Source organism: Homo sapiens, chromosome 19 (assembly GCF_000001405.40).
Source record: "Homo sapiens chromosome 19, GRCh38.p14 Primary Assembly".
In the NCBI taxonomy this organism is placed as follows: domain Eukaryota; kingdom Metazoa; phylum Chordata; class Mammalia; order Primates; family Hominidae; genus Homo; species Homo sapiens.
In genome coordinates, this window is record NC_000019.10 from 19,927,216 (window position 1) to 19,946,320 (window position 19,105).

A 19,105-nucleotide genomic window follows, 5' to 3' on the forward strand; every position below is an offset into this window, starting at 1 on the left:
GGAGACCCCTCTCTATGAAAAAAATTTAATAATAGCCAGGCATGGTGGTGTGCAGCTGTGGTCCCAGCTACTTGGGAGATTGAAGGGAGTCAAAATTGTGCCACTACACTCCAGCTTGGGTGACAGAGTGAGACCCTATCTCAAAAAAAGCTGTTCATTTCAGGCATGTTAAGTATATTCACATTGTTATGCAAAAGACTTCTAGAAACTTAACATCTTGTAAAACTTAAATTCAATGTCCATTAAGTAACAACTGCTCATTTTACCCTCTCTCCATACCTTGAGAGACAAGCCTTCTACTTTCTGTTTTTATGATTTTGACTACTTAAGATATCTCATAAGTGGAATCATACAGTATCCATAATTTTGTTACTGGATTAATTCAGGTGACATAATATTCACAAGGTTCATCTAAAAAGGTGACAAGATTATTCTCTTTAAGGTGGAATAATATTCCATTGTATGTATATGTTACATTTTTTAATATGTTTATAAGTCAAGAGACATCTAGGGTGCTTCAGCCTATTGGCTTTTGTGAATACTGATTACAATAAACATGGATTTGCTTTGCTGCCCAGGCTAAAGTGCAGTGGTGCAATCTCAGCTCTCTGCAACCTCTGCCTTCTGGTTCAAGCAATTCTTGTACCTCAGCCTCCCAAGTAGCTGGGATTACATGTGCATGCCACATCGCCAAGCTAATTTTTATATTTTTAGTAGAGATGGTGTTTTACCATGTTGGCCAGGCTAGTCTCGAACTTCTGACCTCAGGTATCTGCCAACCTCACCCTCCCCAGTTGCTAGGATTACAGGCTTGAGACACTGCACCTGGCCTGTGTTAACATGTTTTGGATATAGATTTATGAATACTTTTTTCCATTTATGTATTTTTATGTCTAAGTAGTTTATTTAAAATATGTTTTTGTATCATTCAAGAAAATAAGCCAACTTTATCAGTGTTGATAATCAGTTCTTGAAGAGATTATTTTTCTCTATTTTGTAAACATGGCAACTTTGTGGAAAATCATTTGATCATATACAAAATGGTTCATTTCTGAGCTCTCTATTCTGTTCTTTCATCTGTTTATGTTTGTGTCAGTATCATATTGTTTATGTTACTGTAGCTTTTAACTGTAGGTTGTATTGATATCTTTGAAAAATGAAATTTTTGACCCCTGAGCAAGAATATATTGAAGAGTGTGTTTCATATTCACATATTTTTGAATTTGCCAGTTTGACTTTTGCTTTTTAATTTCTAGTTTTATTCAGGTTTTATTAGAAAACAACCCAGTGCATAATTTTAGTGTTTTTAAATTGATTTGTTGTTGTTTTGAGACAAGATCTTACTGTCACCCAGGCTGCAGTGCAGTGGCAGAATTTTAGCTTATTGTAGCCTCAACCTCCTGGGCTCAAGTGATTGTTCTTTCACCTCAGTTTTTTGAGTAGGTAGGACTGTAGACATGCACTACCATGTAAGGCTAATTGTTTGCTTTTTTGTAGTGTTAGGATCTCACTATGTTGCCCAGGCTGGTCTCAAACTTTTGACACCAATGGATCTCCCAAAGTGTTAGGATTATAGGCAAGAGCCATGGCACCCAATCAGTATTTTTAAATTTAATAAAACTTGTTATGTGTCCTAACAGAATATACCAGGTGCAAATAAGAATATTGTGTATTATCTTGGTTTTGACTGGAGAGTTTTGTGTGTGTCTGTGAAGCCTAGTTGGTCTATAATATGGTTTGGATGTCTATGTTGTCCAAATCTCATGCTGCAATATAAATCCTCAATGTTGGCTATGGGACCTGGTGGGACACGTTTGGGTCATTGGGGGCAAATTTCTCATGAATGGCTTGGTACATCCTCTCGGTAACCAAAAAGTTTACACTGTATCAATTCAAATAAGAGCTGGTTCATTAAAAGAACGTGGCTTCTTCACCTCATACTTGCTCTGTCTCTTACCATATAATATGTCCAGTTACTCTTTACCTTCCACCTTCATTTTAAGCTTTCTGAAATCCTCACCAGAAGCAGATGCTGGCACACACTTCTTATACACTCTGCCAAGCTGTGAGCCAAATAAACAATTTTTCTTTATAAATTATGCACTCTCAAGTATTTCTCTATATGCAAAAGAATCAATATAGTCTATAATGTTGTCTAAGTTTTTTGGTTGTTATTTTTTACCTGAATTTTCTATTATTGCAAACTGGGTCTTGATGTCTACAATCATTATGTTGCTATGTATATCTCGCTTCACTTTTATCAATATTTGCTTTATATATTTTGGAGCTCTGATGTTATGTACACATATACATATAGATAGATAAATATTTTAGTTATACATTCCTGCTAAATCAACTCACTTTACCATCATATAACGTAGGCACCAGCCCCACAGGATTAGTGGGTTTTTCTCCCTGTGTGCAGAGATAAGAGATTGTAGGGCCGGGCGTGGTGGCTCACGCCTGTAATCCCAGCACTTTGGGAGGCCGAGGCGGGCGGATCACGAGGTCAGGAGATCGAGACCATCCCGGCTAAAACGGTGAAACCCCGTCTCTACTAAAAATACAAAAAATTAGCCGGGCGTAGTGGCGGGCGCCTGTAGTCCCAGCTACTTGGGAGGCTGAGGCAGGAGAATGGCGTGAACCCGGGAGGCGGAGCTTGCAGTGAGCCGAGATCGCGCCACTGCACTCCAGCCTGGGCAACAGAGCGAGACTCCGTCTCAAAAAAAAAAAAAAAAAAAAAAAAAGAGATTGTAGAAATAAAGACACAAGACAAAGAGATAAAAGACAGCTGGGCCCGGGGGACCACTACCACCAAGACGTGGAGACCGATAGTGGCCCCGAATGTCTGGCTGCAGTGTTATTTATTGAATACAAAGCAAAAGGGGCAGGGTAAAGAGTGTGAGTCATCTCCAATGATAGGTAAGGTCACGTGGGTCACGTGTCCACTGGACAGGGGGCCCTTCCCTGCCTGGCAGCCAAGGCAGAGAGAGAGAGGGAGAGAGAGAGACAGCTTATGCCATTATTTCTGCATATCAGAGACTTTTAGTACTTTCACTAATTTTGCTACTCTTATCTAAAAGGCAGAGCCAGGTGTACAGTATGGAACCTGAAAGCAGACTAGGAGCGTGACCACTGAAGCACAGCATCACAGGGAGACGGTTAGGCCTCCGGATAACTGCAGGCAGGCCTGACTGATGTCAGGCCCTCCACAAGAGGTGGAGGAGTAGAGTCTTCTCTAAACTCCCCCAGGGAAAGGGAGACTCCCTTTCCTGGTCCGCTAAGTAGCAGGTGTTTTTCCTTGACACTGAGGCTACTGCTAGACCGCGGTCTGCTAGGCAACGGGCGTCTTCCCAGACGCTGGCATTACTGCTAGACCAAGGAGCCCTCTGGTGGCCTTGTCTGGGCATAACAGAAGGCTCTCACTCTTGTCTTCTGGTAACTTCTCACTATGTCCCCTCAGCTCCTATCTCTGTATGGCCTGGCTTTTCCTAGGTTGTGATTATAGATCGAGGATTATTATAATATTGGAATAAAAAGTAATTGCTACCAACTAATGATTAATGATATTCATATATAATCATATCTAAGATCTATATCTGGTATAACTATTCTTATCTTATATTTTATTATGCTGGAACAGCTCATGTCCTTGGTCTCCTGCCTCGGCACCTAGGTGGCTTGCTGCCCACAATATAATATCAATTTTTGTCTTGTAGAAGTACTTGATTTAAAGCATATTATGTCTAATATAATTATGACCACCTTACTCAATTGTGGTTGCTATTTTCATGGAATATACATTTTTTTCATTCTGTTACTTTCTGCCTATTTGACTTAATGCTAAAGTAAGTCCCTTGTAGGCAGCACACTGTATGCTTTTTTAAAAAAACCACTTAGGCATTCTATATCTTTTTCTTTATATAATTTTATTTATATATATATTTATATTTGTATTTATTTATTTATTTATTTTATTTGGTTTGTTTTTGAGATGGAGTTTCACTCTTGTTGCCCAGGCTGGAGTGCAATGGCATGATCTCAGCTCACTGCAACCTTCACCTCCCAGTTTCAAGTGATTCTCCTGCCTCAGCCCCCTGAGTAGCTGGGATTACAGGTGCATGCCACCATGCCCAGCTAATTTTTTGTAAGTTTAGTAGAGACGGGATTTCACTATGATGGCCAGGCTTGTCTTGAACTCCTGAATTCAGGTGATCTGCCTGCCTCAGCCTCCCAAAGTGTTGGGATTACTAGCATGAGCCACTGCACCCAGCCTCATTTATTTTTGAGATAGTGTCTCACTCTGTCAACCAGCTTATTTGTATTTTTTGTAGAGACAGAGGTTTGCCATGTTGCCCAGGCTGATCTTGAACTTTTGGGTTCAAGTGATCAGCCCATCTTGAACTTCCAAATTCCTATGATTACATTTCATTTTATTTAGTAGTTTAATCTATATTTAAAATGATTGGTTAAAGAAATGAAGTTGTTATTACCACTAATATTGTTATTGTTTTATGTGTTTCTAGTAGTTATATTTTTCTCATTTCCTGTTTTACTTACTTAATTTTCATTTAATTTTGTACTGGCATGCTTTGATTATATTTTATTTTCTTTTGCATACTTTGTATAAATAATATCTTAGTAATCATCTCAAAAACTGGAGATTACATACATCTTAAAGTTAAAACAATATATTTTAATCTCATAACAACTTCAATTGAATAAAAACTATGCCTCTATATTTTCCAGTTTGTTATTGATATAAAAATTATTTTATATGGTGTATCTACAGGTGCACGCCTGTTATCCCAGCACTTTGGGAGGCCAAGGTGGGTGGATCCCGAGGTCAGGAGATCGAGACCATCTGGCCAACATGGTGAAATCCCATCTCTACTAAAATACAAAAAATTAGCCAGGCATGGTGGCCCATGCCTGTAGTACGAGCTACTCAGGAGGTTGAGGCAGGGGAATCACTAGAACCCAGGAGGCACTCCAGCCTGGGAGACAGAGTGAGACTCCATCTCAAAATATATATATATTTCCAAATATTCAGTTTGGTCTTATTATATTGACATTGTTATGCAACATATCACTAGAGTGTTTTTTATCTTGCAAAGCTAAATCTCAGTACACAGTAAATAACTACCAATCCTTTGTATTTTGTGGTTCTTTTCAAACACCACTCTGTTTTCTGTTTCTAAGAGTATAACTGCTTTATATATCTCATCCAATCTCTGTCTTTTTGCGGCTGGGTCACTTTATTTTGCATAATGTCATCAATATTTATCTTAATAGTTGTTACAGTATTTTCTGCTTTTTGAAAACTGAGTGATAATTCCTGTACTTTTGTGTCTACTGAATGATTTGGTGACACAAATTTCGATTACTTTTACCTAGTGGCTTGCAGTAACAATGCTACAATAATTATGTGAAAGTTAATGTAATATATTTGCTGCATTCTGTTTTATTAGTCTACTTTTTCACCTTTATACTCATACCAAATTATTTTAATTCTGTAGCTTTTTGATGTGTTTTGAAATCAGAAATGGTATTGCCTGTAACATTGTTCCTGTTTTTGAAGATTGCTGGGTACTTTATTGTCTGTTTGGATTCCATATACTTTTAAATTTGTTGTTTTTATTTCTTTGAAAATGCTGTGAGTCATTTGAAAGACATTGCATTAAATCTGTAGATTAAATTGAGCAGTAAAGACATCTTCAAAATATTGTTTTTCAATTGTTTGTTTTTGAGATGGAGTTAAATTTACCTGCCTTACCAGTTACATTTGTGCCATTTTGGTTTGTATGTTTTTGTTACATTTATATGTTCAGGAAGACATTACAGCTTGTGGTATTTTACTATGTCATCTTAGTTATGTAGTTTGTATAATTTTATAGGTTAGATTTGTAAAGTATATTTATCTGAGTCTAGCAATTGAAGTAATGTGTTTTTATTGTTTCTTTCAGTTATATGTTCTCATTTTGCCCAAGATCTTTGGCCAGAGCAGAACATAAAAGATTCTTTCCAAAAAGTGATACTGAGAAGATATGAAAAACGTGGACATGGAAATTTACAGTTAATAAAAAGGTGTGAAAGTGTAGATGAGTGTAAGGTGCACACAGGAGGTTATAATGGACTTAACCAGTGTAGTACAACTACCCAGAGCAAAGTATTTCAATGTGATAAATATGGGAAAGTCTTTCATAAATTTTCAAATTCAAATAGACATAATATAAGACATACTGAAAAAAAACCTTTCAAATGCATAGAATGTGGCAAAGCTTTTAACCAGTTCTCAACCCTTATAACACATAAGAAAATTCATACTGGAGAGAAACCCTACATTTGTGAAGAATGTGGCAAAGCCTTTAAGTACTCCTCTGCCCTTAATACACATAAGAGAATTCATACTGGAGAGAAACCATACAAGTGTGATAAATGTGACAAAGCCTTTATTGCATCCTCAACCCTTAGTAAACATGAGATCATTCATACTGGAAAGAAACCCTACAAGTGTGAAGAATGTGGCAAAGCTTTTAACCAATCCTCGACACTTACTAAACATAAGAAAATTCATACTGGAGAGAAACCCTACAAATGTGAAGAATGTGGCAAAGCTTTTAACCAATCCTCAACACTTACTAAACATAAGAAAATTCATACTGGAGAGAAGCCCTACGTTTGTGAAGAATGTGGCAAAGCCTTTAAGTACTCCCGTATCCTTACTACACATAAGAGAATTCATACTGGAGAGAAACCATACAAGTGTAATAAATGTGGCAAAGCCTTTATTGCATCCTCAACCCTTAGTAGACATGAGTTCATTCATATGGGAAAGAAACATTACAAATGTGAAGAATGTGGCAAAGCCTTCATTTGGTCCTCAGTCCTAACTAGACATAAGAGAGTTCATACTGGAGAGAAGCCCTACAAATGTGAAGAATGTGGCAAAGCCTTTAAGTACTCCTCTACCCTTAGTTCACATAAGAGAAGTCATACTGGAGAGAAACCCTACAAATGTGAAGAATGTGGCAAAGCCTTTGTTGCATCCTCAACCCTTAGTAAACATGAGATCATTCATACTGGAAAGAAACCCTACAAGTGTGAAGAATGTGGCAAAGCTTTTAACCAGTCCTCATCCCTTACTAAACATAAGAAAATTCATACTGGAGAGAAACCCTACAAATGTGAAGAATGTGGCAAAGCTTTTAACCAGTCCTCTTCCCTTACTAAACATAAGAAAATTCATACTGGAGAGAAACCCTACAAATGTGAAGAATGTGGCAAAGCTTTTAACCAGTCCTCAACCCTTATTAAACATAAGAAAATTCATACTAGAGAGAAACCCTACAAATGTGAAGAATGTGGCAAAGCTTTTCACCTATCCACACACCTTACTACACATAAGATACTTCATACTGGAGAGAAACCTTATAGATGTAGAGAATGTGGCAAAGCTTTTAACCATTCTGCAACCCTTTCTTCACATAAGAAAATCCATTCTGGAGAGAAACCATACGAGTGTGATAAATGTGGCAAAGCCTTTATTTCACCCTCAAGCCTTAGTAGACATGAGATAATTCATACTGGGGAGAAACCCTAGAAGTGTGAAGAATGTGGCAAAGCCTTCAAGTGGTCCTCACACCTTACTATACACTGAGAGTTCTGAACTTACTCTGTAACCATCCCAAACTCCTCCCAGGCACAGTCTGGCAGAGGTCCTGCCATTTCGGAGACCTGGAGGAAGTGGCCCATTTACAGCCATGTAGGCAGGCCTGCAGACCTTGGCCTTTACTACGGTACCTGAAGTGGTTCAATGACTCAGTTTCAGTTACCTGAGCCACAGCTTAAGGTCAGTTCTGCCTATATAGAAACCCACACAGTTAACCTGAGGAAATGCTCTCTGGTACTCACTGAAAGCCACACTCATCCACATCCTGATACAAGGCCCACCATATGCAGACCTGACTGCCAAAACATGCCCTAGTGTCTGCCGTACAGAGTGAAGTCCTGAAGGATATTTAGTCTGTCCAAAACTAAAATGAAGATTTCAACTCCCCAACCCCCTCTAACAAGCCAGCTAAAGGTGGACTATAGTGCAGACCCAGCAACCTTGTGACCAGGCTAAAACCCCTCATCACTACAAATTCAGAGGGCATCTCATCACCCTAAGGGCCCAACGAAAGATCTTTACCTTCTAACATCAGTTTATGAAAACTTGAAAAGGTGTTTGCTCCATCAAATTCAGACACCAGTACAAAACTATATTATGCCCATTGTCTGGTTCTATTTTAATGTAGCACTGGAAGTGTGTGGCAGAAGAATTAGTCAAAGAAATAAAAATAGCCATTGAAATTGAAGAAAAATGTTGCTGTTTGTAGATCATACAATCTTATATTTGAAAAACCTTAAACAGTACATTAAAACCCGTCTAAACTAATAAATACACTCAGTAAATTAACAAAATATAAAATCAACATACATGTATATGTATGGTTTTATACACTTAAACTATCTAATTAAACAGAGGAACACACTGGGCACTTTGGCTCACGCCTGTAATCCCAGCACTTTGGGAGGCCAAGGCGGGTGAATGATCTGAGGTCAGGAGTTACAGATCAGCCTGGCCAACATGTTGAAATCCCATCTCTACTAAAAATACAAAAATTAGCTGGGAATGGTGGCTAGCACCTGCAGTCCAAGCTAGTTTGGAGGCTGAGGGAGGAGAATTGCTTGAATTTGGGAGGTGGAGGTTGTGGTGAGCAGAGATCGTGCCATTGCACTCCAGCCTGGGCAACAGTGCCAGACTCCATCTGAAAAAGAAAAAAAAAAGAAAATCGTATTTACTATAGCATTAAATAATAAATGTCTGGCCAGGCCTGGTGGCTCATGCCTGTAATGTCAAGGTGGGCGGATCACAAGGTCAGGTGATCGAGACCATCTTGGCCGTGGTGAAACCCCATCTCAACTAAAATATAAAAAATTAGCTGGGCATGGTGGTGCATGTCTGTAGTTTCAGCTAATTAGGACTGAGGCAGGAGAATCGCTAGAACCCAGGGAGGTGGAGGTTTCAGTGAACTGAGATCATGCCACTGCACTCCAGCCTGGAGAAAGAGCAAGACACTTTCTCAAAAAATAAATACATAAATCTCTGAGAAAATAACCAAAAAGGTAAGAAATCTTTACAATAAAAATATCAATAAAAAATTAGAGAAAATCCAAATAAATATAAAACATTTTATCTCTGGGTTGAAAGTAAATATCATTAAAGTGCCGTATTATCCAAAGTTATCTACAGATTCAATAAACTTCCTATCAAAACTTGCAGTGGTATTTCTTTCACAATAATGGAAAATACTATTTTAAAATTTATGTGAAACTAAAAATTTGAATAGCCAAAGCAATCTTGAGGAAAAAAAAAGCAGAAGGATATCATACTTATAATGTCAAGCTGTATTTCAAGACTGTATTCTAATAAAAACCAAATGGATTGTGCAAAAAAATGAGCAAAAATGCAACAGAAACTAACACATATTTCAGACATGATGAAAAAAACTTAATAGTTTATCAAAATCATGCAGATATTTGTGTGTCCCCAAAACAATAGAAAAGCAGCCAGATTGTGCAGTCTCTTATATACCATGAAGAGGACTTTGGCTCTCACTGTGAACTTGAAGGAAGTTCACTGAAAGAAAAGTAGAATCCTTAGAGAATTTAAAAGCATAAGACAGAAGATGCCCCTTTGTGAGAGCAAAATTTAGAAACAAAAAAAACAGCTGCTCAGGAAATATTTCCTTTGGAATACAACTTCCAAATTAGATTTTAAGAACTGGTTTTCTCTTTGACTTTGAGACTTCTTACCTGTGTTTTCCGTTGTATTCATTTTCACTCATACCTACCTGGGGGGTTGGCAATCATCTCATGTCTCTTCAGAGCCAAAGGTTTTTTTCCCTGCTCCAGATGAGTGATCAGGTCTGGCTTAGAGACAACAATACTGTTGTATTAAGAATAAATAACATGAATCGTGCTCATATTCTCCAATTACAAGCTAGTAATGTGTTCAGTAGAGAGGATGTGATAAAATATTCTAGTAAATTAATTACAAAATACTAATCTATAACAAATTTCTAAATATTTAGAAAATGCTTTCAATTTGTAGGTTTCTTAATTTTACTATCTAATACTACTGAATCAAAAATTGGTGGCAATTAGATTTTCAGGTGGGGGCAAGAATACTTTGTCACTAAATTTTTGGAATTACCACTAATTTAGAGTGAATTATACAGCTCAAATCAGGAATGTGGAAAGTTTGGATTAAGATGAAACATCTTGAAGAGACTTTTCTGCATGAGCAAATTTTGAAGATTTTCTGAAAAAAGGGGATCTGAAACTCTTTTATGCAAAGAATAGATTACTAAAAAGTTCTACATAAAAGAGAAATAAAACCTTTAGGGTATATTATGAATTATGTCTTAAAGTTATCCTCAACAAGAAAGACCATATTTCCATAGTTCTCTAACATCACATTCGTATACAACTTCCGCTGTACAGTGTCCAGGCAATGCCACTCCTCCAGAGATAATTCTATGGCCACATCTCTAAATTGCAATGGTCCCTGAAGAACACACACATTTTTACCAAGTGGCCAGGTGTGGAATTTTTAATTTGACTTAAGGTGAAATGAGAGAGTAAAGAGAAGTGGTTCTGACTTATAGCACTGACTAAAATTATCCAATAAAATAATTTTCAAAACAGAAATATTATTCTCTAACTATGATAAAAAAAAAAAAGCACCATAAGATCCAGAACAACAGTTCATATATTTTATTTTTCTAGATAATAAAGTATAAAATTAAGGGCATGAACACGAACATGTACATTTTTGAGTGCTATATTTACATCATACGGAATGAGTTGTGAATATTTTTCAGATGGAAAAGACATTCACTTAGGCATTTCTCAAATTTATTATGTACAATAAGCTGAAGACCTTATGCAGGTTTTTTTTTTTTTCCAAGAAGATCTGGAGTAAGTCTGATTTACGTATTTATTTCCTTTTCTTTTTTATTTGAGACGGAGTTTCATGCTTGTTGCCCAGGCTTCTGTGCAGTGGCATCATCTTGGCTCACGGCAGTGTCCCCCTCCTGGGTTCAAGCAATTCTCCTGCCTCAGCCTCCTGAGTAGTTGAGATTACAGGCATGTGCCTCCACGCCCAGCTATTTTTGTATTTTTAGTAGAGACAGGGTATTCTCCATGTTGGTCAGGCTGGTCTCAAACTCCCAACCTCAGGTGATCTGCCTGCCTTGGCCTCCCAAAATGCTGTGATTACAGGCATGAGCCAGGGCTCCCCGCTGATTTTTTGAATTTCTAACAAGCTTACCAGTAATGCTAACGTTTTTGGCCTAATAAGGATATTTTGTCAAAGATCCAGTAAGTGGTAGAGCCTGTGTTTTCCCAGTTTTTCTAGCCTGTAAACAAAGATAAGAGCCTTCATTTTCTAAAGAAAAATATGTAGAAAAAATAAAAGGAGAACTGCCAGATTAAATGTGATCACTTGTGTAGAGCAGCTGCATAAAGATAATTATGAAGAGAAAAATAGTTATCTCTACAGTGAAAAAAATCAATCAGCTATTTCACCAAGTGAATCATTAACCATTAACTGCACTAGGACAAATTTTTATGATGTGCTACTGCACACAGAAGAACACAGCATCACTGTTGAAATATTCCTCCCCAAAACAGTAAACTAGTCTGAATTTAACCATAAACAACAGTTTATGCAAACTTCAAAATACAGGTAACTCCTATGTTCTGTAATTTTTAGTAGGAATTTTAATTAGGCTTCATTTAGCACCCTAGAGAGCAAGTATCTCCTAATAATTTTTTTCAGAACTTTCTGGGTAATAAATGCCATTCCATTTAAATCAGCATTTTCTTAATCCTCTTCTGCATAGAGCTAATGGAACACACAGCTGGAGCCTCAACATTACATGTTCTCCATCTTTACTAAGGGCCACAGTTTTCCCCAATAGAAACCTTGAGTATCCACATCTTTCCATGTTCAACAGCCACAAAGGGAACATTTTTAATATTGCAGGTCATAAATTCTTGCGGAGCATTCTGCATGGCATATAAGAAGCTATGACGTACAGAATGTAGAGAAGTCTGTGGGACATAGGACAGAAACGTTTTCCAGAGACCCTTGACTATCATAAGAATTTTAAGAAGTAGTTAAACCAAACTCCTTAGGGAGGAAAAACACAAGTAGAGAAGTAAAGGTTTGTGAGTACTAAACGCATGGCAGTCCAGGAGGCAGAGTGGACACAGCTCTTCATCTGACACATGTTTACCTGAAGAAAAGCCATTTTTTTCTTTCTCCTCCTCCTCTGGAATTCCTTCTCAGATGAGATTCTCTGGACAAGTTACACCTGCATATGGAGAATATGCCTTTAAAGGTGTCAGTACCACATTTACCTGCTAGTATGACATCAACTGGCAGAAAAAGAAAAATTCACTTACTGCTGTCTTTTAAACAGAATAGATTCAGGAATAATGAGCTGCTCCATGAAGACAAAAATATAAGCTTCTCCTTTCCTGTCCTCAGGTGCCCTCCCCTGCCAGAGACTCCAGCAATTTCTGCTACAGTAATGGAAATATGCACCACACTGACCTGTCCCTACCAAACCCAAACAGAACAGGCCCTGTGACCACCCTTTAGTGCAAAGGTGGAACTTAACTCTCGAAAATGTATTTTGAAGCCTTCATACTTGATTCTGGCCTCACCTTAGAGTCACATGAGGCCCTTCATTAAAACAACATGGATCCTTCCACCCAGAACAATAAACAGAAGCTGTGGGGAGGGCACAAGTATAAATCACTTGGTAATTTTGGTCCCACATTATGTAAGGTGATTCTGCAGGTTTGAAAAGGGTTTATGAAAGAGTGTTTTAAACAAGTCTCCTGTCAATGCTGATGTTGCTCCCCCTTGGCTCATTATTAGCATTAGAGAAAGCAGGCAGAGCACAGGGTCCCTTACACTTAACACCCTTCTCACAACCAAATACTTGTCGTGCAAATAAGGACAACCCATCTCCATCCTAAAGTTTTATATTCTTTGCTGGCTCTTTAAGTTTATAGAGGAAACAGAAGGCAGCAATGTTTGAATAAGTCTGGGTTTAAAAAACAACATGTACACATGTACTACTGCAATGTTTATTAAGCAAGTACTATGTGCTCAAGAGTATGATACAGAGCACTGTGCTGGGCATAACACATTATGTGATTTAATTCTCATAATACCCTGGGAGCTAGTACTAAGGGTTTAGGAATTTTCAGGATTTAGATAAAGGGCCCAGCATTTTTATTCTTCTGTTTCTCTGTCATCAAATTTTTTAAAAAGTTGTAAGAAATAAAAGCTAAATATAGACAGATAGAAAAGATATAGAAAGGATGAGTTTAATGCAGTTTAGAGAAAATTTTATTCTGTTTATGTTTACTTTTTTGTTACTTGGGGAGCAATTACTGGATCTGCAGGAATAGAAAACAAGTTGCTAAATAGAATGTCTCTGCAAGCACTGGTTTTAATAGAAAACTTAAAAGCTAAGACTCTATAATACATACTTTATTTTTCCCATTCATCTGCTTTTGGGTTTCAGGAAATTGTGAGCACCAGCTCTAGAAAGGCAGCAGGATTCACCAGCCAAAACTCTTGATCTCTACTAATCAGTTCTGAGAGCAAGACTCCAGGGTATGGTCAGACCTAAATAAGGCCTTCAAAAAGAATATATGTAAACAAGTCTGGGGCAGTGTGAGGACCCTATGTAGAATTCTGTTCTCTATGTCACTGGGGTACTACCAGATTTGTTTCTTCTAAATGTCCTAAAAGAAACTTAAATCCAACAGTTTCTGTAATTTAAATATTTTCTAGCCACTGCCCTGTCAACTTTATACTATATACTAATATGCAATTTAAACAAACCCCTTAAGGTTTTCTAGGGTAATTTTATTGGAAAATAAATATCGTACACTTAACAAGTGAAAGAAATAGAAATTATACAGCCGGATGTGGTGGCTCACGCCCATAATCCCAGCACTTTGGGAGGCTGAGGCAGGTGGATCACGAGGTCAGGAGTACAGGACCAGCCTGATGAGATGGTGAAACCTCGTCTCTACTAAAAGTACAAAAATTTGCCAGGTGCAGTGGCATGTGCCAGTAATCCCAGCTACTCGGGAGGCTGTGTCAGGAGAATCACTTGAACCTGGACAGCAGAGGTTGCAGTGAGCTGAGATCATGCCACTGAACTCCAGCCTGGGACACAGAGTGAGACTCCATCTGGACATCCTCAAATGCCTCAAAGACACCTAGGTGATTGTGAGAGATTCCCAGTGATCTGGGGCTGATGGCCCAATAATAAGCCAGGCTGGAGACTTAGGCTGATTCTACATAGAAAATGGAAGTGCCCTAGTGGAGCTCCTGAACCTGGATCACCTGTTCTGATTTTCTAGCTCTTGAAAGAAAGAACAAAAATACTCTACTCCAGTATCACATTTTACAGGTAAATGTAGTTGTGGTCATGGCTCTGGATACTTTGGGGCCTTGATCTCTTACTCCTAAGATGCTTATTTACACTGACAGATTCTGCCCTCAGATTCTATTTCCTTCTGGAGCCTCTCACATAACTGTAGCAGGTCAATGAACAAGATGTGAAAAATCTCAAAGAGCCACACTCCCAAATGGAGGCTATGTCTATGTTTACATTTCACAACGCAGAAAATATCTTTTGTTTGTTTCTGTACATTCTCAATCAAAAGTCCGGCCCTGTTTTGTAAATCCAAGGCAGAGGCCAGACCTTATTGGCAGATTCTAGGCAGGATCCACCTGGATTTGCATCCTTTGGTGTTACAGAAAGTGAAGCACAATCAAAGGAGAGATCCCCTCATAGAGTCTGCTCTAGCACATTCTAAATGATAAATCTACATGAAAAAAAGAGAAAAAGCTGACACAACATGAATATAAGTAGACACTTTATTTTGGTCAAACTTAAGAATTATAACCTGGGAGCAAAGATTCAAGTTGCCTGGAATCTACAGTTTGATTAGCAGCAGTTACAAGAGGATTTGTAATGACAACAAGAGAGGGACAGAGAGTGGGCTGATACAAAGTTGATTGTTAGAAATTTTTATTTATTTACAGAAATAACTGATTATTGATGAGATATATATTGTATATATATGGTTATGGTTTAGGGTACGGGATATAGTGTCCAATGTGGCATTATTAGTTTATAGCTACTTGGGGCAATAGTGTACAGTTTCAAGAGATGAATACATATTTCAAATGGGGAAGACAGGCGTAACTACACTTGCATTTTAATGTCTCTCTGAGTTTGATAACCAAAGGACTTGCATTTTCCAGATAAAAGTTTTTTATTTCCCAAATCTCAAGACCTGGATTCAAAATTTGGAGCTGCAGATTTAGAACCTGAACGGCTGGAGTAGCAGCGGGTGTTAACTGCAGATTTGTGAGCATTTCAGCAAGAGGAGGAAGGGGAAAGTGGAGATTCTGTCTACATGTCTACTCAATGCACACATGTTACTCTGATTGGGTTTTTGGGCCCCGTGGTGTCTGAATCAGTTTCAGGTATGAAGATACAATGATTGATTGGTGCCCCGTGGAGTTTGTAGAAATCTGGACCTAACCTCTCTAGAAGTGACTGTAGAGGATTATAGATACCATATAGGCAGAGACACAATTCTGCCTGCATATTTAGGGGACAGTGTGCACTTTGTAGCACAGGTGTGAGTTGACTGGAAGTCTGAGAGGGAAAGTCCCCTCTAGAGTAAATTCTGGTTTTCACCTTATGTGTTTATATCATGTCTGCTAATTCTAGACCATGCTTGGAAACAATAATTAAAAGAAAAATTTTCTCCAGCCTCAGAGAAACTCCACAATAATAAGATAGAAAGAAAACATTTTATTACACAATTGAACTTGAATGTGACATGCATCATAGTCAATCTGCTTAAGAGACTGCAAAGACAGAAGGATGGTCACCAAAATTAGTCCACAAGTAGAAGAATTTCCAGCACCATGTCATACATAATTCATCCTAAATTCATCTGGAGATTGAAGAGGCCATCTGTGTATGCTAATTGCTTATATTCAATGACAAATAAACTTTTCCCATCTTCATAGCAGGAGGTAGCTTAGCAGCTTGAAGCCAGGTGCCTGCTGAAGGTAAGATTTCACTCTGCTACAAAAATGGTTGAATAGGGTTCTATCTTGATTTGGCTATTTACATTTTAGAGCAGTGTCTCTGCACTCCCTGGCACTGGGCTACAGCACTCCTGCTTGCTTTCTCCTGGTTACTAGTGTCCTCTGTTGACTTCTACAATTTGCTACTGAGGCACAGCCCAGAGCACAGCTCACATTTTATGTGAACCCCATTTGCCACAGCAGCACTCTAGTGTCACATCAGAGAGTGAGGCCTGAGCTGCAGGAGGAGAGCCTGCAGGCCTCATGGGTAGATTTACACCTTCACAATAATGGGAATGTAAGCAGTGTTTCAGCCCCAGTTTCTATTTATAATGGTGAAATGGAAAAAATACTACCGAATTCCCAGGATGAGTCCAGATACCCTTACCCTGAATACTCTGCAGCTGCATTCCTAAGCCCTTATCTAGGTGCCACAGTAGAATTTGCAGTCATGGTACAGCATGCAAACCCTAATTACAGCCATATGGGCAGCATGGGGGAGGTCATAGGAAATATGAACAAACCTTAATTACACATTCCTGTGAACTCCTGTTTTTCAGCTAGCTGCCGCCATAAATGTCACATGATGAGGTGTTGCAAGTTCATGGTAAACTGATAAACTGCCTTTGTGCCTGTTCCTAACTGATAAACTATCTAGCGGCAAAGTTAACTCCCTTAAGCCCCTCTCATCTCACATAAACCCCTCACTTTGTAAGCTCAGGGCTACCTCTTCTGATTGCTGTGGACCAGCCCGGTAGGTTAATAAACTTACTTGCCTGACTTTGGGTCTACTTGTCCTTTCTCTCGGCCAACCTTACATTTTGGTGTCAAAACCTGGGAAGAGGTAGACTCTGGCCGGGCGTCCCTAGAGGACTTTCTGTCACTCTCTCTCTCACACTCTCCCTCCTCCCAGGCTTGCTGGTCATTGTGCGCTGGAGCCTAGGTGCCTTTCCCCCTCTCCTGCCACCCCCTGCTAGCCACCCTCCCCTTCCCAAACCTGCTGAAGGCCCAAAGGATCTCCTAGACTCTCCCATTGTTGGTGACTTCATTCACCTTCAGAGCCTCCAAAGGGGTAAGAGAGAGAGTCTTGCCATTTACCCGGAACCCTTGACTGTCTCTGCATTCCCAAAAGACCCAGCGCTGAGCCAAGGGCTTTCTTCAGCCTCCAGTCCTCTGGTTTCTCCATTTCAGGAGGCAGCTACCTCCTACATTCCGGACAGGGCTTGTGGGACAGGGGACGCCCTCACCTGCCATCCTTGTCAACTGGCAGTCTCTTCTTCCTCTACCCCCCTCCTCTATTTACCATGGGAGCTTCTCATTCTACCCCTCCTAAAACCACCCCCCTTGGGTATCTTTTGCACAACCTCAATGCTCTCAGCCTCCATTCAAGGGTCCATCCTAAGAGGCTTATTTTCTACCGTAATACTGCCTGGCCTCAATACAAATTGGACAATGGCTCCCAATCACCCGAAAATGGCACTTTTGATTTCAACATGCTTACAGACTTAGACAACTTTTGCCACCGCAATGGGAAATGGTCTGAGATTCCTTATGTTCAGGCTTTCTTCACTCTCCATAGCCACCCTTCTCTCTGCCAGTCCTGTTCTACTTTCCAAATCCTCCTTGCCTGCTCTAAACCTGATTTGCCTCCTACCACCCTCCCTACGACCCCAGCCGACGACTCATCCCCTACTACCCTCCCCATCGCCCCAGCTGATGACTCCTCTTCCTTTGACCCCACCAATTTTCCCCCTCCCCGTCAACATCATGATCCTCTGCCAGAGCATCATGATCCTCCTCCGTATGCCCCCGCTCTGGCTCTACTTCTTTCTCCCCCTCTCTCCAACAACCCTCCTTCTGACTCTGAGTCCTCCCCATCACCACCCCTTACCCACTCTCAGGCCAAGCAGCCAGTTCCCTTGTTGCCCCTTTGGGAAGCAGCAGGGGCCAAAGGGATCGTCTGTGTCCACATCCCCTTCTCCCTTTCCGATCTCTTCCAAGTTGAAAAATGTCTCGGATTTTTCTCCTCCGATCCTGATACCTATATCAAAGAATGTACGTATCTTACTCAGTCTTATGAACTCACTTGGCATGATCTCTATATTATCCTGTCTTTTACCCTCCTTCTGGAAAAGAAGGAAAGAGTGTGGCTCGCAGCCCCGACGCGTGCTGATGATCTCCATCAGCAAGATTTTACCAAGCCCATAGGAGCCGCTGCAGTACCCTGGCAGGAGCCTCCTTGGGAGTACCAACCCACAGACCCCAGCCTGGCATCCCATAATCATATGATTACTTGCCTCATTGCAGGCCTAAACAAGGCTGCCCACGAGGCTGTAAACTTTAAAAAGCTCAAAGAAATCTCCCAAAAGATCAATGAAAACCTTGCCCAATTTTTTTTCCTGTCTTATGGAGGCTCTCCAAAAATATACCCATGTTGATCCTGCCTCCTGAGAAGGTGCTATTGTTCTTCATACCCATTTTATCTTCCAATCTGCCCCCAATATTTGGCACAAACTTAAAAAGGCTGAAGATGGCCCTGAAACCCCCAACAAGACCTCCCTAATCTGGCTTTCAAAGTCTTCAATAACAGGGATGAGCAAAATAAATTAGATAAAGCCTAAAGAGATCTTGCTAAATACCAGCTTCTAGCAGTGGCTATCTGCCAACCTCGCCATAGTACCCAAGGGCACAAAACACCCAATAGCATTAACTCTCCCAGGCCTTTTTTAAAGTGAAGCAAAGAAGGCCACTGGGCATGAGCATGCCCTAATCCATGAATGCCAAAAAGCCCTTGCCCAGTCTGCCAGCAGACAGGCCACTGGAAGTCTGACTGTCCTGTTAACAGGCAGA

At 39.7% G+C, this 19,105-nt stretch overlaps 1 protein-coding gene, 1 long non-coding RNA gene and 1 pseudogene across 3 annotated transcripts in view; 2 read left to right on the forward strand and 1 right to left on the reverse strand.

The window, feature by feature from the left end:
• The window catches only part of ZNF93 (zinc finger protein 93), a 34,630-nt gene extending 26,270 nt beyond the window's left edge, over positions 1–8,360 (forward strand). For both annotated transcript variants that reach the window (NM_031218.4, XM_047439495.1), the window contains exon 4: positions 5,967–8,360. In NM_031218.4, the coding sequence (NP_112495.2) occupies positions 5,967–7,603 (1,637 nt within the window). In that variant the 3' untranslated portion in view covers positions 7,604–8,360. The remainder of the gene's footprint in view (positions 1–5,966) is intronic.
• Positions 8,361–11,302: 2,942 nt separating this feature from the next.
• LOC124904665 (uncharacterized) lies at positions 11,303–17,918 on the reverse strand. The gene is made up of 3 exons (XR_007067170.1): positions 12,520–17,918; positions 12,351–12,447; positions 11,303–11,468 (listed from the first exon to the last, which is right to left on the reverse strand). It is a non-coding gene; the product is annotated as an uncharacterized LOC124904665 (long non-coding RNA).
• Positions 16,488–19,105, forward strand: part of BNIP3P12 (BCL2 interacting protein 3 pseudogene 12) — a 65,535-nt pseudogene continuing 62,917 nt past the window's right edge.